General features: G+C 36.7%; 1 protein-coding gene and 1 pseudogene across 3 annotated transcripts in view; both read right to left on the bottom strand.

Moving 5' to 3' along the window:
* The window catches only part of POTED (POTE ankyrin domain family member D), a 36047-nt gene that overhangs the window by 10231 nt on the left and 9353 nt on the right, over positions 1 to 16463 (bottom strand). Inside the window, exons 5-9 of one of the 3 annotated variants that reach the window (NM_174981.6) lie at positions 15298 to 15435; positions 12718 to 12788; positions 7141 to 7211; positions 5693 to 5737; positions 4486 to 4652 (exon numbers count right to left, since the gene is read on the bottom strand). In NM_174981.6, coding sequence (NP_778146.2) covers positions 4486 to 4652; positions 5693 to 5737; positions 7141 to 7211; positions 12718 to 12788; positions 15298 to 15435 — 492 coding nt within the window. Of the gene's footprint in view, positions 1 to 4485; positions 4653 to 5692; positions 5738 to 7140; positions 7212 to 9362; positions 10321 to 12717; positions 12789 to 15297; positions 15436 to 16463 lie in introns of those variants that run through there. The other 2 variants (XM_006723997.4, XM_011529550.3) reach the window with 2 other exon arrangements.
* On the bottom strand, positions 13910 to 14016 carry RNU6-286P (RNA, U6 small nuclear 286, pseudogene; annotated as a pseudogene).

Below are 16463 nucleotides of genomic sequence, written 5' to 3'. Positions count from 1 at the left end.
CAGCTCCTTGGGAGGCTGAGGGAGGAGAAATGCATGAACCAGAAGGTGGAGGTTGCAGTGAACTGAGATCATACCACTGAACTCCAGCCTGGGGGATACAGCGAGACTCCATCTCAAAATAAAATAAAATACCAGTAAACTTTGCAATTCCTCTGACTCAGTTTGCCATAATTACAATTATGATTACTAGTAAAAGAATAAATAGTGAATAACCACAATATTGGGCTTTTCTCTCTAAATAAAAAAATTAATATAAAGAATGTAGCTTATTATAAAAAGCCAAAACAATTTTAAAAATGCATGTAATTACTGGGCAAAACTGTTAGAATGAACCACGTCAAACATTTTTAAAGTGAGAATTAATCAAACAATATATCCAGGATAAACTCCCTTCACTCATTTAATAAGTATTTGTTAGGTAGCTTCATCCAATATGCTAGGCCTTTTTCTAGGCAGTGAGGATATGGTAGTGAAAAATAAAAACCCTATTCATGAGAGTGAGAAAAACACACAATAACAACAGACAGATAAGGCAAAATATACAGGATGTTACAGGAGAAAAACTAAAGCAGGAAAATGAAATGTTTATGTGTTTGATGGGGAGGGTGGTGGGAAAGTTGGGATGGTCAGAAAAGTCCCTGCTGAGAAAGGGGATTTTTTTTTTCTAATACAAAAACCTTTTATTTGTATATCAAAGTCTCTAAGAAATGATGACATAAGGTTAACAGCGTTGATGTCAAGATACAAATGGGTTTGAAGTTAGAGATGATAAATCACTTTGTTTCACTGAACCTTCCCTTCGTTACGTTAGAGAGCATCCCTGGTAGGCACCCAATTGAACCTTAAGCATGACGCGTCTGGGTAGCACACCGTTCTTCCTCAGAAAGTGGTTGTTCCTTAATGTGTTTCTTTTTACCCTTTTTCCTCTTCTTCTTAGAAAGGGGGTTTTAAATAAAGAACTGAAGGAATGGAAAGAGAAAGCTAGGAGGATATCTGGGGAAAAAGCATTCCAGACACAGGGAACTGCAAATCACAGAGGTGTGCCTGGCATCTTTAAGCACTAGGGGTAGATAAGGGATGGCAAGAATTCAGTGTGGCTGAAGCAGAGCAAGGGAGATAATTAGGAGGAACTTTGACATGTACTCTGAGTGAAATGGGAGATAATCAGAAGGGCTGGGGCAGAGGAATGACACAATTTGACTTATGCTTTAAATACATCCACTGAGTTAAGAATTGATGAAAAGGGAAGTTTTTAAAAACCAGGACTATCAATTCCCAGTCTATGGCACTCATCTAGACTGCAGATGAGGGTGGCTCAGATGTATGAGATATGACTGGCTTCTGGACATATTCTTCAGGTAGACCTGACAAGATTTACTGAGAGATTAGATGTGAGGTGTCAGAGAGAGAGAGAGAGATGAGTCAAGAATGACACCGAGATTTTTGGCAGAGCAACTGGAAGAGTTGCCCTTAACCAAAGTAGGAAAGACTGCATGAGGTGTAGATTTCAGGAAGGACATCAGTAGCCCAATTTTGGATCTGACAAGTGTGTGATACCCAATAACTAACCAAATAGAGATGTCACAAGTAGGCAGGCTGATATAGAAATCTGGAATTAAGGAGAGAGATCTGAGCTGGAGACATACATTTGGAAATCACTAGCATATACACAGTAGAAAAAGTCATGAGGGGCCAGGTGCAGTGGCTCACACCTGTAATCCCAACACTTTGTGAGGCCAAGGCAGACAGATCACCTGAGGTCAGGAGTTTGAGACCAGGCTGGCCAACATGGGGAAATGCTGTGTCTACTAAAAATACAAAAATCAGCTGAGCATGGTGGCATGCACCTGTAATGCCAGCTACTCAGGAGGCTGAAGCAGGAGAATCGCTTGAACCCAGGAGGCAGAGGTTGTAGTGAGCCGAGATCACACCACTGAACTCCAGCCTGGGTGACAGAGCAAAACTCTGTCTCCAAAAAAGAAAAAGAAAAAGTCACAAGAAAGAAGATTGAGGAGTGAGCCCTGGGAAACAACAATGTCCAAAAGGAGAAAGATGAGGAGGAGCAAGCAAAACAGAACATGATGAATGGACTAGAAAGGTAGGAGGAAAAGCCTGAGGCAGTGAGGTCCTGAAAGCCAAGTGAAGACGCCGTTAGGGAGGAGATGTCCTCCATTGCCTCAAATATTGCTGACAGATTAAATAAAATGAGGTGGAAGAAAAGTGCCTAGATTACAGAAAAAAATTAGTGATAATTTTGAGGAAAAACGTTGGAGGACTGCTGAAATTGAAGACTTACTGGCATGAGATCAAGAGTGAATGAAAAGAAAATTTGAGTTCGTGAGTGTAGACAGTTCTTTTAAGGACATCATACTTAGGAGTCATGGCTGAGAATGTTGTAATTTTCTTCCACAGTCATGGAAAAGTAGTAGACAAATAGTTTCAAATTTTACATAACAGGTGTAGTTTTCAAATTTTATATAACAATTACATATTTTAAAGCTTATAAAAATTATACACATTTGGCATTAAAAATGCCAGACCAAGGTGTTAAATTCTTAAAACTATAGAACTAAAAGTTGCCTTGACCATTTCTAGATTACAGAAGCTGATTATTATTTTGTTCATGCTTATACATAAAGACCAAGAAAAACTAAAAGCTTCAAGGAGAGTATTTCTTGCTTGATAAAAATCAGCCAATTCTAGGACAGTTGATACTCATCAAATATACAAAGTAATTGATCACAGTGAAATACTGAGTTCTATTGACAGGAATAAAGTGGCAGAAATGCAGAAAATAATCTTATTTTACAAATGAAATTTTAAAAATTATATGACATCACTGTGGAAAAATATGGTGAGGTGAATACTGAAATATATCCTTTTCTCAAAGGAAAGATAATGTCACACATGCAGGGCACTTTTACAAATAAGTGTTACTGCATTAGCAGCACCTTCCTTTTAGCACACGGGTCAGCAAATTAGCACCTGTGGGCCAAATCCAGCCCACTGCCTGTTTTTGTAAGTAAAGAATCTTGGAACACAGCCATGCTTATTCACATTACAGTCCATAGAGTCAATTAGCTGGGTGTGATGTTGCACACTTGGGGTCCCAGACAGTAGAAAGGCTGAGGTGGGAGGATTACTAGAGCCCAGAAAGTCAAGGCTGCAGTGAGCTGTGATCACACAATTGCACTCCAGCCTGGGCAACAGAGACCCTGTCTCAAAAAAAATAAATATATATAGTCCACAAAGCCTGAAATATTTACTAAATGGCTCTTTGCAGAAAAAGCTGGCCAGCTCCTGGTTTAGCAGATGAAAGATACTTTGATATATTTTAATAAAAGTTTTACCCAATATACTCAAATGTTTATATTAAATATAGATCCCCATGTACAATCCCTTGGCAATATTCAGATTGAAGGTCCAATATTTCGGCACTCAGGCACTGACAACAAAAATTTAATAACTAGCAATCTTGTTGCTAACAAGGTACGGTGTCAATGTAGCGTGTAGCTTCCATTTGCAACACAGCAGATATTACAAGAATTCTAACAAAATTATCTTAAGATGTGTTACCAAACTAAATGCTTTAAATATTTTAATTGTGAATAATCAGTATACTCTAGATCTAACCTCATTTGTAAAAAATGGTTGCATACTGTATTATTTTCGGGGTATTTCCTATTGGTAAGGATTTACTTTTGATGATAAATTCCTATTGATAAGGATCTATCTTTTTGATATAATAATGCTGTAAGAAATGTCCTTACACATAAGTATATATGTGACAAATCTATACAAATATCCTTAACATACCTATATATCCTTACTATGTTATATATATGTGTGTGTGAATATGCTACTAAATTAATGTTCAAAATGTATTTACCAACAGTGTATGAAATGTCTTTTTCAATGAGACCATTTCCTTTGCAGCAACACACATGGAGCTGGAGGCCATTATCCTAAGCAAACTAATGCAGGAACAGAAAATCAAATGCCACATATTCTTACTCATTAGTGGGAACTAAACAATGAGAACTCATGGACACAAAGAGGAGAATAACAGACACCAGGGTCTACTTGAGGGTGGAGTGTGGCAGGAGGGAGATGACCAAAAAACTACCTCTCGAGTATTTTGCTTATTATGTGGCTGATGAAATAATCTGTAGTCCAAACCTCCATGATACAGTTTACCTATATAATAAACCTGCACATGAACTTCTGAAGCTAAAATAAAAGTTCATTAAAAAGAAAAGAAAATGCCTTTTCCCTCACATTTGCCAATGCTGGTTATTTTTCAAATAAATTAATGACTGGAAAAAACGGTAACTCATTGTTTACTGATTTTCATTTTTCTGATTAACAGGCAAGGCTGAATATTCTAGTAAAAGTATAAAATTTGTTCATCATGAATATTAGCCCAAATTAAGATTAGTTTGACAGCATATAGTTATCTCCTATTAAATGTTGCCATAGGCTTACCTGTGATACTCTTCATTCTCAGTGTCAGGAAATTGCTGATTTTCAGGTTTTCTGCTCCTCCTTTGTGGAATTAATCCATCATCACCATTGCCAGCACTGGCACCATTAGTCAGGTTTTCTGGTAATCCCACAGGATTACTTCCATGCTTCTTTATTTCTTCTTCAACCTTGAGTGGAAGTTTGATATTAAGGATGGTTATCACTTTATTGAATAAAAATAACCTTTTTAATTGATTTTATCAATTGATTCAGTTTGCCATTATTTTAGTCATTAAAAATCTCACACTTAAATTTGATCATATATACAGAACTATTACCGTATAATTTTAAGATGTAATTATCATGTCATTAGTATATCATTGAAATTTTTGTAAAGTTTGCTTGATTGCTGTTTGACTGAATAAAACAGAATTTTCCAAAATTCAAAAAGGGCCCTCCTTCATTTTGTGCCTTTATTCCCAAAAACTCTTCAGAATCTTATATATGAATTTACCCCATTTGACTCGTGGGAACACAAAAATAAAACGACATAGACACAAAATGTGTCTTCTATCTTTACCACCTAGATTTTACATTAAACACTCAGATGTAGAGGATGAGACACTGGGGGACTTCAGGAATAGAAAGGAAGATGGCCCTTTTCTGCACTAAGATATTCTCCTCCCCCACTGCCTTTGATCGTTCTTTTTTCGTTTGGTTCCTGGATATCAAAAACATGATGGTGCTCACTGAAACATGAAAACCAAAGTTTGCCACAACACAAGGAGCAGAGTGAAACTGCTGAAGTGCAAGCGTGGAATTCCAGAAAATTAGATGCTCCCAAAATTTCACATTCAATAGCTATACAATTTTCCAGCTGGAAGTTACAAAGAATAAGTAATTATCTTCTTTAGCCACATTATCTAGTGATAATCAGACTAAAACCAAGAAAGATAAAATGATTGGTCCAAAGCTCCTAAAGTGGCATTACCTAGCATTTTATGGCACCATTCAGGATTGTTCCATAATAATGAAAGAATCTCTCTAGGGTTTGTATCTCTTGAAAACTCAATGTACAGAATTCTTTCTGAGTTAAATATTAAATTTTTCACTGGTGATTTATGCTACTTACATGATAGGATCATGTATGCCTACACTTACTACACTTTGTTAAACAGCATAACATAAAAATCTAATTCAACAGAAACATTTGAACATAAAGGTATACCTCTCTATCACAGTCCTTATTTATTTCTGGTTCTTGAGACATTTTCTGCAGATGCAAAAATAGAAGGTTAATTTGCTTGTTGTATTTCCGTGTATGTCTCCTCTTTTGGAATGCATGTTAAAATAATTTTATTCTTAAGTAATCAAGTATGGACATGAAAAATTAGAAAATAAAATAAAATTTAACTGTTAAAATAATTAAATAAATAAATAATTAAAATTAAGAATTAATTTTTTAATCTATGTTTAGCAACTGCCACATCATTGGCTTCTGACTAACATGTGAAAAATAATTCACCTCAGACAAAGGGAGAATAAAAACATGAACCAGCAAACTTAACTTTGTTACCATTTGTTTGGACTAAACTTAATTTGTTATGTGTTAAATCTACCAAAAATGAATTAGCAGATGATTTGTAGTGTTCCAAAGGCTTCCTCACTTGAAAAAGTATATCTCATGAAACCCTAACTAGTGAGCCCCTATAGTGCACTGAAGTGCTTTTTTAAAAGATTCCTAATTGGATTGTAGGCACGCTTTAAATTATTAGGAGCTGAAATCAACACCAAACAGAAAGAAATGCAAATTCTTACATTTTAATTGAAATTATATGCTGTAATATGATAGTGTTATGTATCTAGATGATCTGCTTAAGTCCAGTTCTAATATATTCTAAGGTGTACTAATTATAGTGGATAAATTTTTTTTAATAATCTGTACTGATTTTCTGCAACTAAAATAAGGAAAAGGTTATTGTGTTTGTGCACTAACACCAAATGTCCCATTCTGCAAGATATGATTCTTGTAATAGGCAGTTGGGTTGCTTTTATGACCTGGTTCCCTCCCTGAACAGAAATGCTGAAGTCAGTGAGAGATCACAAGGCAGAATATGTCTTTAACCTTGGTATCAGTGACTGACAATATAAAACTGCAGATTTTCAATCACTGGCCGTGATTATTCTTTAACCATGAATCCAGCTCAGGGACCTTCAGTGTTACATTGTTCATAGTTCTTTTGCTTAATAATATAATCCAATAATTGATGTTACTTTATCATGTTAGGGTGTTGTTAAAATAAAAGAACAAACAAAGGTCTGGAATATGTTTTTGCCTCTATTCCAAAAGGAAAGATTAGCTATAAGCTAATCAAAAAGGCAGACAAGAATATTTTAAATAAGAATACTGTAAAATAAGGGTATTTTAAATTTTATAGTGGTTATGTTTTTAAGCTAAATATCAAATGTTAAATTAGAATTTATTGATTCTTCTGTTAATGAGATTGCTGAATTTATTAAAATAAATTTTAAGAATCTTATTAAAAAATTCTTAAAAAAAGAATCTATTGATTCTTAAAACCTAGTCTGAAAGGTAATTTCATTTGGACTATCTAATATTGTTAAAGCAAAGAAAACAACATTAAATCAAAAATTTAAATTTAAAATTTTCCATGCCTCTGGCTGGCTATTTTCACTGACTTTAAGCCTTTGTGACTCTTCCTCTGATGTCAGCTTTAAGTCTTGTTCTGTTGAGAAATCCATATATTCAGTTAAGATGAACCACTTAGAACAGTTAAAAACTATTGCCTTTATAAAAATAGATTGAAGACAACATTTTATTTTATTTCATTAATTGAGTGTTTAGTCTTTCATGAAATAGTTACTTAGGAAATAATTCTCCAAAACTTCAACAAACCACTTGGGGAGACACCTGATGTGATTCACTCACAAATTCATCCACCCCACATAAATGAACAAAACCACCAGAAACACAACTTTAAAATACAGTAGAAACATATAAGGTAACTCAGTATGTTGTTCACTTCCTAATGGTGAAGCAGGAAATGTAAAGAAAAGAAAATTTAGTTTTAAAGAGAAACAAGTTTTCCTGCACTTAGCTACTCTGACTCTAAGGATAGTATCAGGCAGGGCCCAGGAAAGGTCGTGGTGACCCTGTCTGAGAAGCCAGAGCCCACAGGTATGGGCTCCAGACATCCCAGAGAAAAGTTAAGAAAACAAATTCCTTTACCATCTCCCCTCCCCCTCAGCATTTATTCATAGCTATTTTTACAAATGCATATATTTTGCAAATTCTTGTTTTCCTTCAATGCAGCTGCAAGGTCACAAGCTATGCAGTGGTTGCAAAACTGTCACTATATGATTAACTGCCTTTGTTCTGCTTCTGTAAGTTTGCCTATATAAGCCAAGCCCTGTCTTTGTTCAGGGCTCAGGTTTTTGATGCAAATCCGCTGAGCTGGTGTGCACCTAAATAAAATCCTCTTGTTTGACCCACTGGGTCTCTCCTGCCTCCTGTTTTCTGCAACAATAGTACCTTACAAATGATTTCCAAAATTACTACTGACACCTTTGTTAGTGTACAATGTCTTCTTAACGTCTAAAATGTTTCCATCCACTATTATGACAAATTTATATTCATTTTTCTTTTTTTTTTTTGTTTTTTTGTTTGAGCCAGGGTCTTGCTCTGTCACCAGGCTGGAGTGCGGTGGCACAATCTCAGCTCACTGCAACCTCTGACTCCCTGGTTCAAATGATTCTTCTGTCTCATTCTCCTGAGAAGCTGGGATTACAGGCACACACCATCATGCCCAGCTAATTTTTGTATTTTTAGTAGAGATGGGGTTTCACCATTGGCCAGGATGGTCCTGATCTTTTGACCTTGTGATCCACCTGCTCCAGCCTCCCAAAATGCTGCAATTACAGGTGTGAGCCACCACACCCAGCCTTATTTTCATCTTTTAAAACAATGCTATGGGAAGTCTTCCTTGATTCTGCAGATCTTTCCCCAGATAAACAGGTAACTCCTTTCTTGAGGTAGCCTTAGGACCTCACTGATTTTTCTACTGCACCTTTACCACCTGAACTGTACATTATTCCTCCACAGGTCTGTCCCCTCTACTCCAAGACTGCAGAGGACAGTCTTGCACATCATCTTTGTAAAAACAGTCTTTATTTTACTCAGAAATTTCTTATTGAGTCCTGCTACACACATGCTAGGTGTTAGGGTTTAAAAAGAATGAAAATAAAGCCTGTCAGGGATGGCTTTTCTAGAACACCTGCCCAAGCAGAGACTTAAATATTGAGGCTAGCTAGATTAAAAGTGGTAGAGGGCAAGAAAGGGTGACAGCATGCCACACAGCAGCAAGAGCAGGAGCGAGGCCTGAAAGAGTGAAAGTATTTGCCTGCAATAGAAGGAGGAGTGAGTAGGGCATTAAGAGCCACTCAGTAATGCCAGAGAAAGGGCACACAGGGAAAAGGGCTAAAGATGTAGAGTAGGGCAGAAGTCAGATTATGAAAGCCTTATGTGTACTTTTAAGATGCTTAGACATTAACGTTCAAGAGTGGTCCCTGGTCCTATCTGTATTTAGATGTAGATCATTTTAATGTCAAAACCAATATTCCTAGTGAGCCATTATTCATTAAGACAAGGTGACAGCTAGCTCATGTGGACACAGCTGAGATGATACTATGTAGCAAATTCTCAATAATTCTCATGAACACTTGGAAAGTCAATTCTATAATAAGTCATAGAAATTATAATAAATCACTTAATATTTGTTTGGGAAGGTGCTTTATAAAGTTATAGTGTATATGAATATAACTAATAGTTGTGAATTCAGAGCTGTGACAATAAAGCAAAAAAAACACACTGTGTTTGAGTCAGCAATATTTAGATTTCTATCTAGTCTTCCTACCGAGTCCATAAATTCTAAGTATAATCCTAGTACTCGCTCTCAAGTTTAAGTTAAATGCTAGCCTATACAAAAAACACTCTTTCTCTTACTCTTTTTTGTTATTTTTATGTTACTTTGTTTAAAGGAAGAACACAAAAATGCCCTGCTAAAGGGATTCTGTTTGGCTGCAGGCTGCAAGAGGGGAAAAACACAAAGCACATTTTGCAGAAAATGATTTTTTAGAAGTCAGAACTATGACATGAAGTCAAGCAGGGCACTCTAGGACTGACTTTGCTGTGGTTCCTTAATATGCTCCTTGCTCTCTTTCTTTTCTGGAAGCTGTGACTCACACAGGTCATGGAGAAAATTTCCTACTCCTTCCTCATGTCCAGGTTAAATACTAGTGTACAACGTGGAAACCTGTAAATTATCTGACATTTCTCTCTGTCCCCCAAACCTTTCTCATTCAATTATCACTAAATCATATTGACTATACCTCTCTTCTTCCTCTGCTTTATATTACCACTGCCACTGAGAACATAAACATTTACAAAACGGCTTTTATTACAAACAACCCTTCCAACTATTAATGTTATTTCTTACATGAAAAAAATTAAGCAAAACAAATGAAAAAAGCATAACACCAAAAAAAGGCCAACACATTAAAATGAGTAACTGAGATTCCAAACTTTATTTTGCCATGGGCAGGTGAAAACCTTAGAATACATTGATACTAGTCCAAGGATGTGTGACATGGAAACTATAGCTGACTACTGCAAAAGCTTCCTTTTTCTCCTGGTTTCTTTACATGGTTATCTTCCATCAATCCCAGCAAACTATAGGCCACAGGCCAAATCCAATCTGCCTTTTGGCTTTGTAAATAAAGTTTTATAGGAGCTCAGTCATGCCTGTTTGCTTACATATAATCATGGTGGCTTTCACACTACAACAACAGACAACAGCCTGGTTAAGTAGATATGACAGAGACCACATAATCTAAAATATTTCCCACCTGGTCCTTTACAGAAAAAGCTTGCTAACCCATTTTACACCATAAGCAGAATATGCCTTAATACTCAAATTTAATCTTGTAACTCCCCTGCTCAAATTTCTCCAATGAGCCCCTGCAGCACACATTGTTGGCTCCCTATCAATAGCCATTCCTTATTCTTTCTTGCAGAAGAAACACAAGTCTATTGGGATATTTATTATCCCAATCCCCCTCCTCAGCCTCAGAAAGAGAAATGTTTATTCTAAGCTAATCATGTATTTGCCTTCCCAGTGCCTGGTTTGGGAATGAGCATGTGGTGTGACCCAGCCAGTGAAATGTTACAGGAAGCCCCTTGCATGCTTCTAAGTTTTCTCCCTGTTTAAAAGACACATGTGAAGAAAAGCAGCCCTTGAAATGTTGTGTTGTGAGAACAAGATGTTTGGAGCTGCTGAGGATTAGCCAACCATGAAAGGAGACATGAATAAAACACTGCCAACAGCACAGCTGAAAGAGGGACAAGTGGGATCCTAGGATATCACTGAACAACCAAAACAACTCTGGTTCCTACTGTTTTAGCCACTGCTCATCTAGTATTTACAGTCCAAAGCATTGTACCTGGTAAATTTCCCATGGCCCACAGGGTAAGACCTACTCATTTCTATAGTATTAAAAAAGTCTATCATAAACTTGCCTTAGCTAAGTATTCACCTTATTCCCAACCTCTGGTGTCTCACACTTTTGGTACTAGCAAAAGTGAACTGCTCAGAAACCCTGCAAAGTTCACTCAGCATCTTGTGTTTTGCACTTGCTGCTCTTCCTGCCAAACAGGCAATCTCATTAGATGTTCTTCTGGCAAACACACAATCTTGTTGCGTGTTCCTTCTGCCAAACATTATTCTTCTGCTTCTTTACCTAGAAAAATTCTTCTCACTCTGCGTGCTTACCTTGAATCATACCTACTTTTTTTCAAAACTTTCATTCCTCATCACATACGTCTGGCACATAATTAATATATAATAAATCATAATTATAAGCTTCCAGTGGGCATCTAGCACACAGTAAGCACTGAATAAAGTAGTAAAATAATAAAAATGACAATGATAATAACAAGCTCCTGTCTGTATTTTTAATTGTGTGTGTTCTGTAACATTAGAAAAATGATTAGTATCTAAAAGACATTTAATAGTTATTTGTTAAGTGGACAAGTGAAAACATAGAAAGGTTTTCTTTGTAAATTCTGTTGAAAAAGCACAGAAATGAAATAGAGACAGCTCTACTATGAGCACCTTAAAGATCAAAACTACATCTATTCCATCTTTGTCTCCTGCAACTTATAAAACCTAACTTACAGAAGCTTTTTGATAAATAGATGGCTAAATTAAAGGTGTCCTAATACAGTTTGGGTTATACAATGTATTAGGTGTCCACAACCAGGTGGCATACTAGTATTTTTGTTAATGTGAAACATTTTTCTACTTTTATTATAATCTGCTGAGCCTAGAATTGGGCAATTTGTATATTTATTATGACAATCTTTTGGTAAATGGTAGCAGAGCATCTTGTTCTAACAAAATTACTGTTATCAAGACAATTGACCAGCAGGTAGAAGAACACATCTTGTTCCAACAAAGTAAATGTATCTCTTTCCAACTTCAAATGAGGAGGAATGAAGTCAGTAAGAGTGAGACCTTGTTGGGACAAGGATATGTAACATGACTTGTGCTTTGGCGTTCTTTTGTGATCAAAAATTCCTTACTTTTATTTATTTATCTACGGTAGGACCACCTAGAGCAGGGGCCCACAACTCCCAGGTCACAGACTGGTACCACTCCATGGACTATTATGAACCACACCACACAGGAGGAGGTGAGCAGCAGGCAAACCAGGGAAGCTTCACCTGTACTTACAGCCACACCCCATGGCTCATATTACCGCCTGAACTCTGCCTCCAGTCAGATCAGTGATAGCACTAGATACTCATTGGAGCATGAACCCTGTTGTGAACTGCTCATCTGAGGGATCTAGGTTGTGTGCTTCATATGAGAATCTAATGCCTGATGATATGTCACTGTCTCACTTTGCCCCCAGATGAGACCATCTAGTTGCAGAAAAATAAGCTCAGAGTTTCCACGGATTCTACATTATGGTAAGTTGTATAATTATTTCATTATATATTACAATGTAATAATAATATAAAGTAGCACAATAAATGAAACATGGCTGAATAATCCTGAAACCATCCCCACCTTCCCCCAGCCCATGGAAAGACTGTCTTCCAGAAAACTGGTCCCTGCTGCCCAAAACATTGTGGACAACTGACCTAAAGTAATTCATTATCACAAGTCTTACCTGGATTGCTGTTTTCAGAAGAGATTTTTAGCATCTGTTTTTCTTTATAGTCAGAAAGTAATTCACAAATTCTATGTATAAAAATGTAATAAACCAAATTACTATTTTAATACTGATATAAAAAATACTTACCAAATGTAAAATTCTTAGAGTATTTCAAACAATTTCATAATATCAGAATTTAACAGTATTATCCCATACACTTATGAGTACATTCTACAAACTTTTCTTTAAGCTTCTAATTAAAGAAGAAAAAAAATTAGGTGAAATGCTCATAAATCAAGGACACTGTGACCCAGTAAATCAGCATGCATTAGCATGACATAATAGAAAGTGTCCCAACTCTGCATAAGTCCTAGCTCCATAATGAACAGCTATTAGTTCTTGGACAAATTTCTTCTCTTAGGCTCAATGTCTTCTTCTACAAAGTGAGGACTTTGCTGCCTTATTTCACTAGGTTGTTACAAATATTTAACAAGGTAACATTTTTTAAATGCTCAGAGAAATAGTAAAGCAATGGAATAATCTGTTCCTAAACTTTATGACTAAAATTATCTTGGAATCCCAAATAAAACCCCATGTGTATTTTGTTCACAGGTTCTAATATGCAAATGCTGTAGTTTTCAGAAAATGTTATTAAGTCCTAATTTTGCTTCTTAGTTGTCCTACTCCTTATGGCTTATAATTCAGGGCATCTCAACTGTGTCATAGTTTGTAACTAAATTTTTTCATAAATCTCTCATTAAAGTAGATAATGTGATTGTCCACTATTACGGAGTTGACCAATTTGTTGTGCTAAGGGCAGAAAAACCAATGGATGTTAAGACCTGGCTTGGAGCAATGATCCTTCTCTACAGACTCAAACTCTGAGCCAGCAGATGTTTGTTAGGATAATGCTTTATATTGATGTTCAATTCCAGCTGACATGGGAGACCAAAACTCTACTTTTATTTTTTTTCAGTTTTCATGAAGAAGCTGCAAATTGACATTCTCTAATTTTTGACATACATACTTAATATATTTTGCACCGAACACATTATTCAGCTCTAAATCATCTCACAGACCATCTTCCATGACTATTTTTGCAGCACAAATCACATTTCGATATTTTGGTGGCACCCATTTTGCTTTGATTCACACTGTTTCCTTAGAGCTAGTCAGCAGATAGTGAAATGATCTTCCAGTGACTGCACAAAATATGGAATGCCTCAAAGAGTTGTGCTGCCTCCTTATGCAGAAGCCATGCTAACTTTCTCTGTATTGTTCCAATTTTAGGATATGTGCCGCCAAAGCAGGCACAAAGCCCTACTTTTACACATGATTTGTGACGAGTCATGGACAAGGCTTGGCTCTTGTCCGTGACTCATCACTACTTACTTAACCTACTTGAGATTCTGAGAATTCTCTTCAATGGCTTCCTGTGAGGTACAATTTGATAATATTTTAAAATCTTGAGCTAGAGATGGAAGTAGCTTGGACGATTTTCATTATCATGTAAATCAGATCACTCAAGGGGCCAACCACAGCTGGGAGCCACTGCTTGGGGAAGGCTCATATGGGACTTTCTACTGCCTAAGGTTCTACACAGGATATAAAGGTGCCTCACAGTATAGATCTGGTAGCAAAGAAGAAGAAACAAACACTGATCTCTTTCTGCCACATTATTTGAACCCCTCTGACCCTTTAGAACAAGCCCACCTAATATCTGCTAGAGAAAAGACCAACAACGGCCTCAAAGGATCTCTTACCATGAAGGTCTCAGCTAATTCTTGGCTAAGATGTGGGTTCCACATTAGGTTCTGAATACAGGAGGAAGGGTCAATTTGCTCACTTTGTGTGCGGATAAAGTCAGGATGCCCAGCGGCCAGAGCAGGGTGCTGGTGCTTTGGGAACAATGGCTGAGCATATAAGCATAGGTAAGGGAACTAAAAAAAAATGTTGTAACTTCAAAGTCACTGTATGAATCCCCATGAAGACTTGAGGGATCTGAATCAGTAAGGGCATCTTGGTGTCAAAGGTCAACAATTACCAGGCAGCAGAACCAGTTTGAGTGGCAACAATGCAGCAACAGAAACAATGGAAACAACAGAATGATTGGAATGTCCTTTTTTTTCTCCTCCTTCTGACTTGATAAAAGGGACTGTCTTCCTTGGATTTAGTGAACCCCTTTGGTTCTTGAAAAATTCAAGGAGTATGTAGAAGATAGTCCCCAGAAGACAGTACAAGACTTTCTGCTAAACTGGACATTTCAAGACCCAAATAACTAATCAGAAAAATCAAAGATGTGATACTCTTTTTTATCCCATGCATAGGTGTTATACTTGGATGAAATGAACAATATTGGGATCTCTAAGGATAAAGGTCTTAAAAGTCCTGAGGTAAAGAATCCTGCACCCATTGGTACTTCTAACTTGTCTTGCTTTTTGTCTGATTTCTGGCTGATGCAGGGGACTAACTCACGGCCAATCTAAAACTACCTGAACCAAACTATGACATCTCACCTGATATGTAAGATGCAATTGTTATAATTATTTTAAACCTCAATTTAGCATTAACTAGCCTTTTCATGTAAACACTTACACATGATGATGACTAGAAACAGCATACTCTCTGGCCGTCTGTCCAGATAGATCTTGAGAAGATACATCAACATTTTGCTCAAGTAGAAGATTGACTATACTTGCTGATCCACAACATACAGCAAGTATGAGGGCAGTTCTAAAATTACAGAGATAATTTCTCCTTTAGGAACTGTAATAAAGTTATTTTAAAAGCTAATTTGATATACTTTACCAATTTAACATCTTGCCTGTCCATGCAGAATCAAACATTTACATGCACTAAAAGACAGAAGCATCTTGGGTGCTCAAGAGTTCATCTTTGTAAAATACCACCAAGGTTAAAAGGAAAGGACAAAAAGGAAACCTCTTATCTCAGTGGGGTATTGCATAGCAGAAGCTACTAATTTAAAGTCCTTTGATGGGCAAGAAACAATGCTAGGGCCACTTATCTGAAGTGGACAAAGATTTAAGTGAAGATTTTGTCACAGCTTCCCTAAACTGATATGCTGTAATAGAAAATTAGCTAGGGGGTAAGAAAAATAAGAGCTCTCTGCATGCTGAAAGCAGTAATATTAATAATAATGGTAAGAATAGTAGTCACAGGAGTTTCAGTTAATGCTGCCAATAAGCATGTGCTACGCACTGAATTAAATGCCACATATATCTTTCTTGCTTATGCACAGCCAACTTTGAAGGATATATTCTCCTACTTTTCACATATGACAACATATTGGGTGGTAAATAACGTTCCCAATGTCACACGCGTAGCAAGTAAGAAAGTTAGGAATTAAACCCAGTCTTGTGTGAATCCAAAGCCTAGCTCTTTTCTCTTTTTTTTTTCCATGCCCAGCTAGTTTTTGTTTTGTTTTTGTTTTGTTTTTTATTTTTATTTTTTATTATACTTTAAGTTTTAGGGTACATGTGCACATTGTGCAGGTTAGTTACATATGTATACATGTGCCATGCTGGTGCGCTGCACCCACTAACTCGTCATCTAGCATTAGGTATATCTCCCAAAGCTATCCCTCCCCCCTCCCCCCACCCCACCACAGTCCCCAGAGTGTGATATTCCCCTTCTTGTGTCCATGTGATTGCATTGTTCAATTCCCACCTATGAGTGAGAATATGCGGTGTTTGGTTTTTTGTTCTTGCGATAGTTTACTGAGAATGATGATTTCCAATTTC

The sequence above is a fragment of the Homo sapiens genome, chromosome 21 (genome assembly GCF_000001405.40).
Source record: "Homo sapiens chromosome 21, GRCh38.p14 Primary Assembly".
NCBI classification, from domain to species: Eukaryota; Metazoa; Chordata; class Mammalia; order Primates; family Hominidae; genus Homo; species Homo sapiens.
The sequence above is the reverse complement of the archived record's forward strand: the minus strand, read 5'-3'. Positions and strand labels throughout refer to the sequence as shown.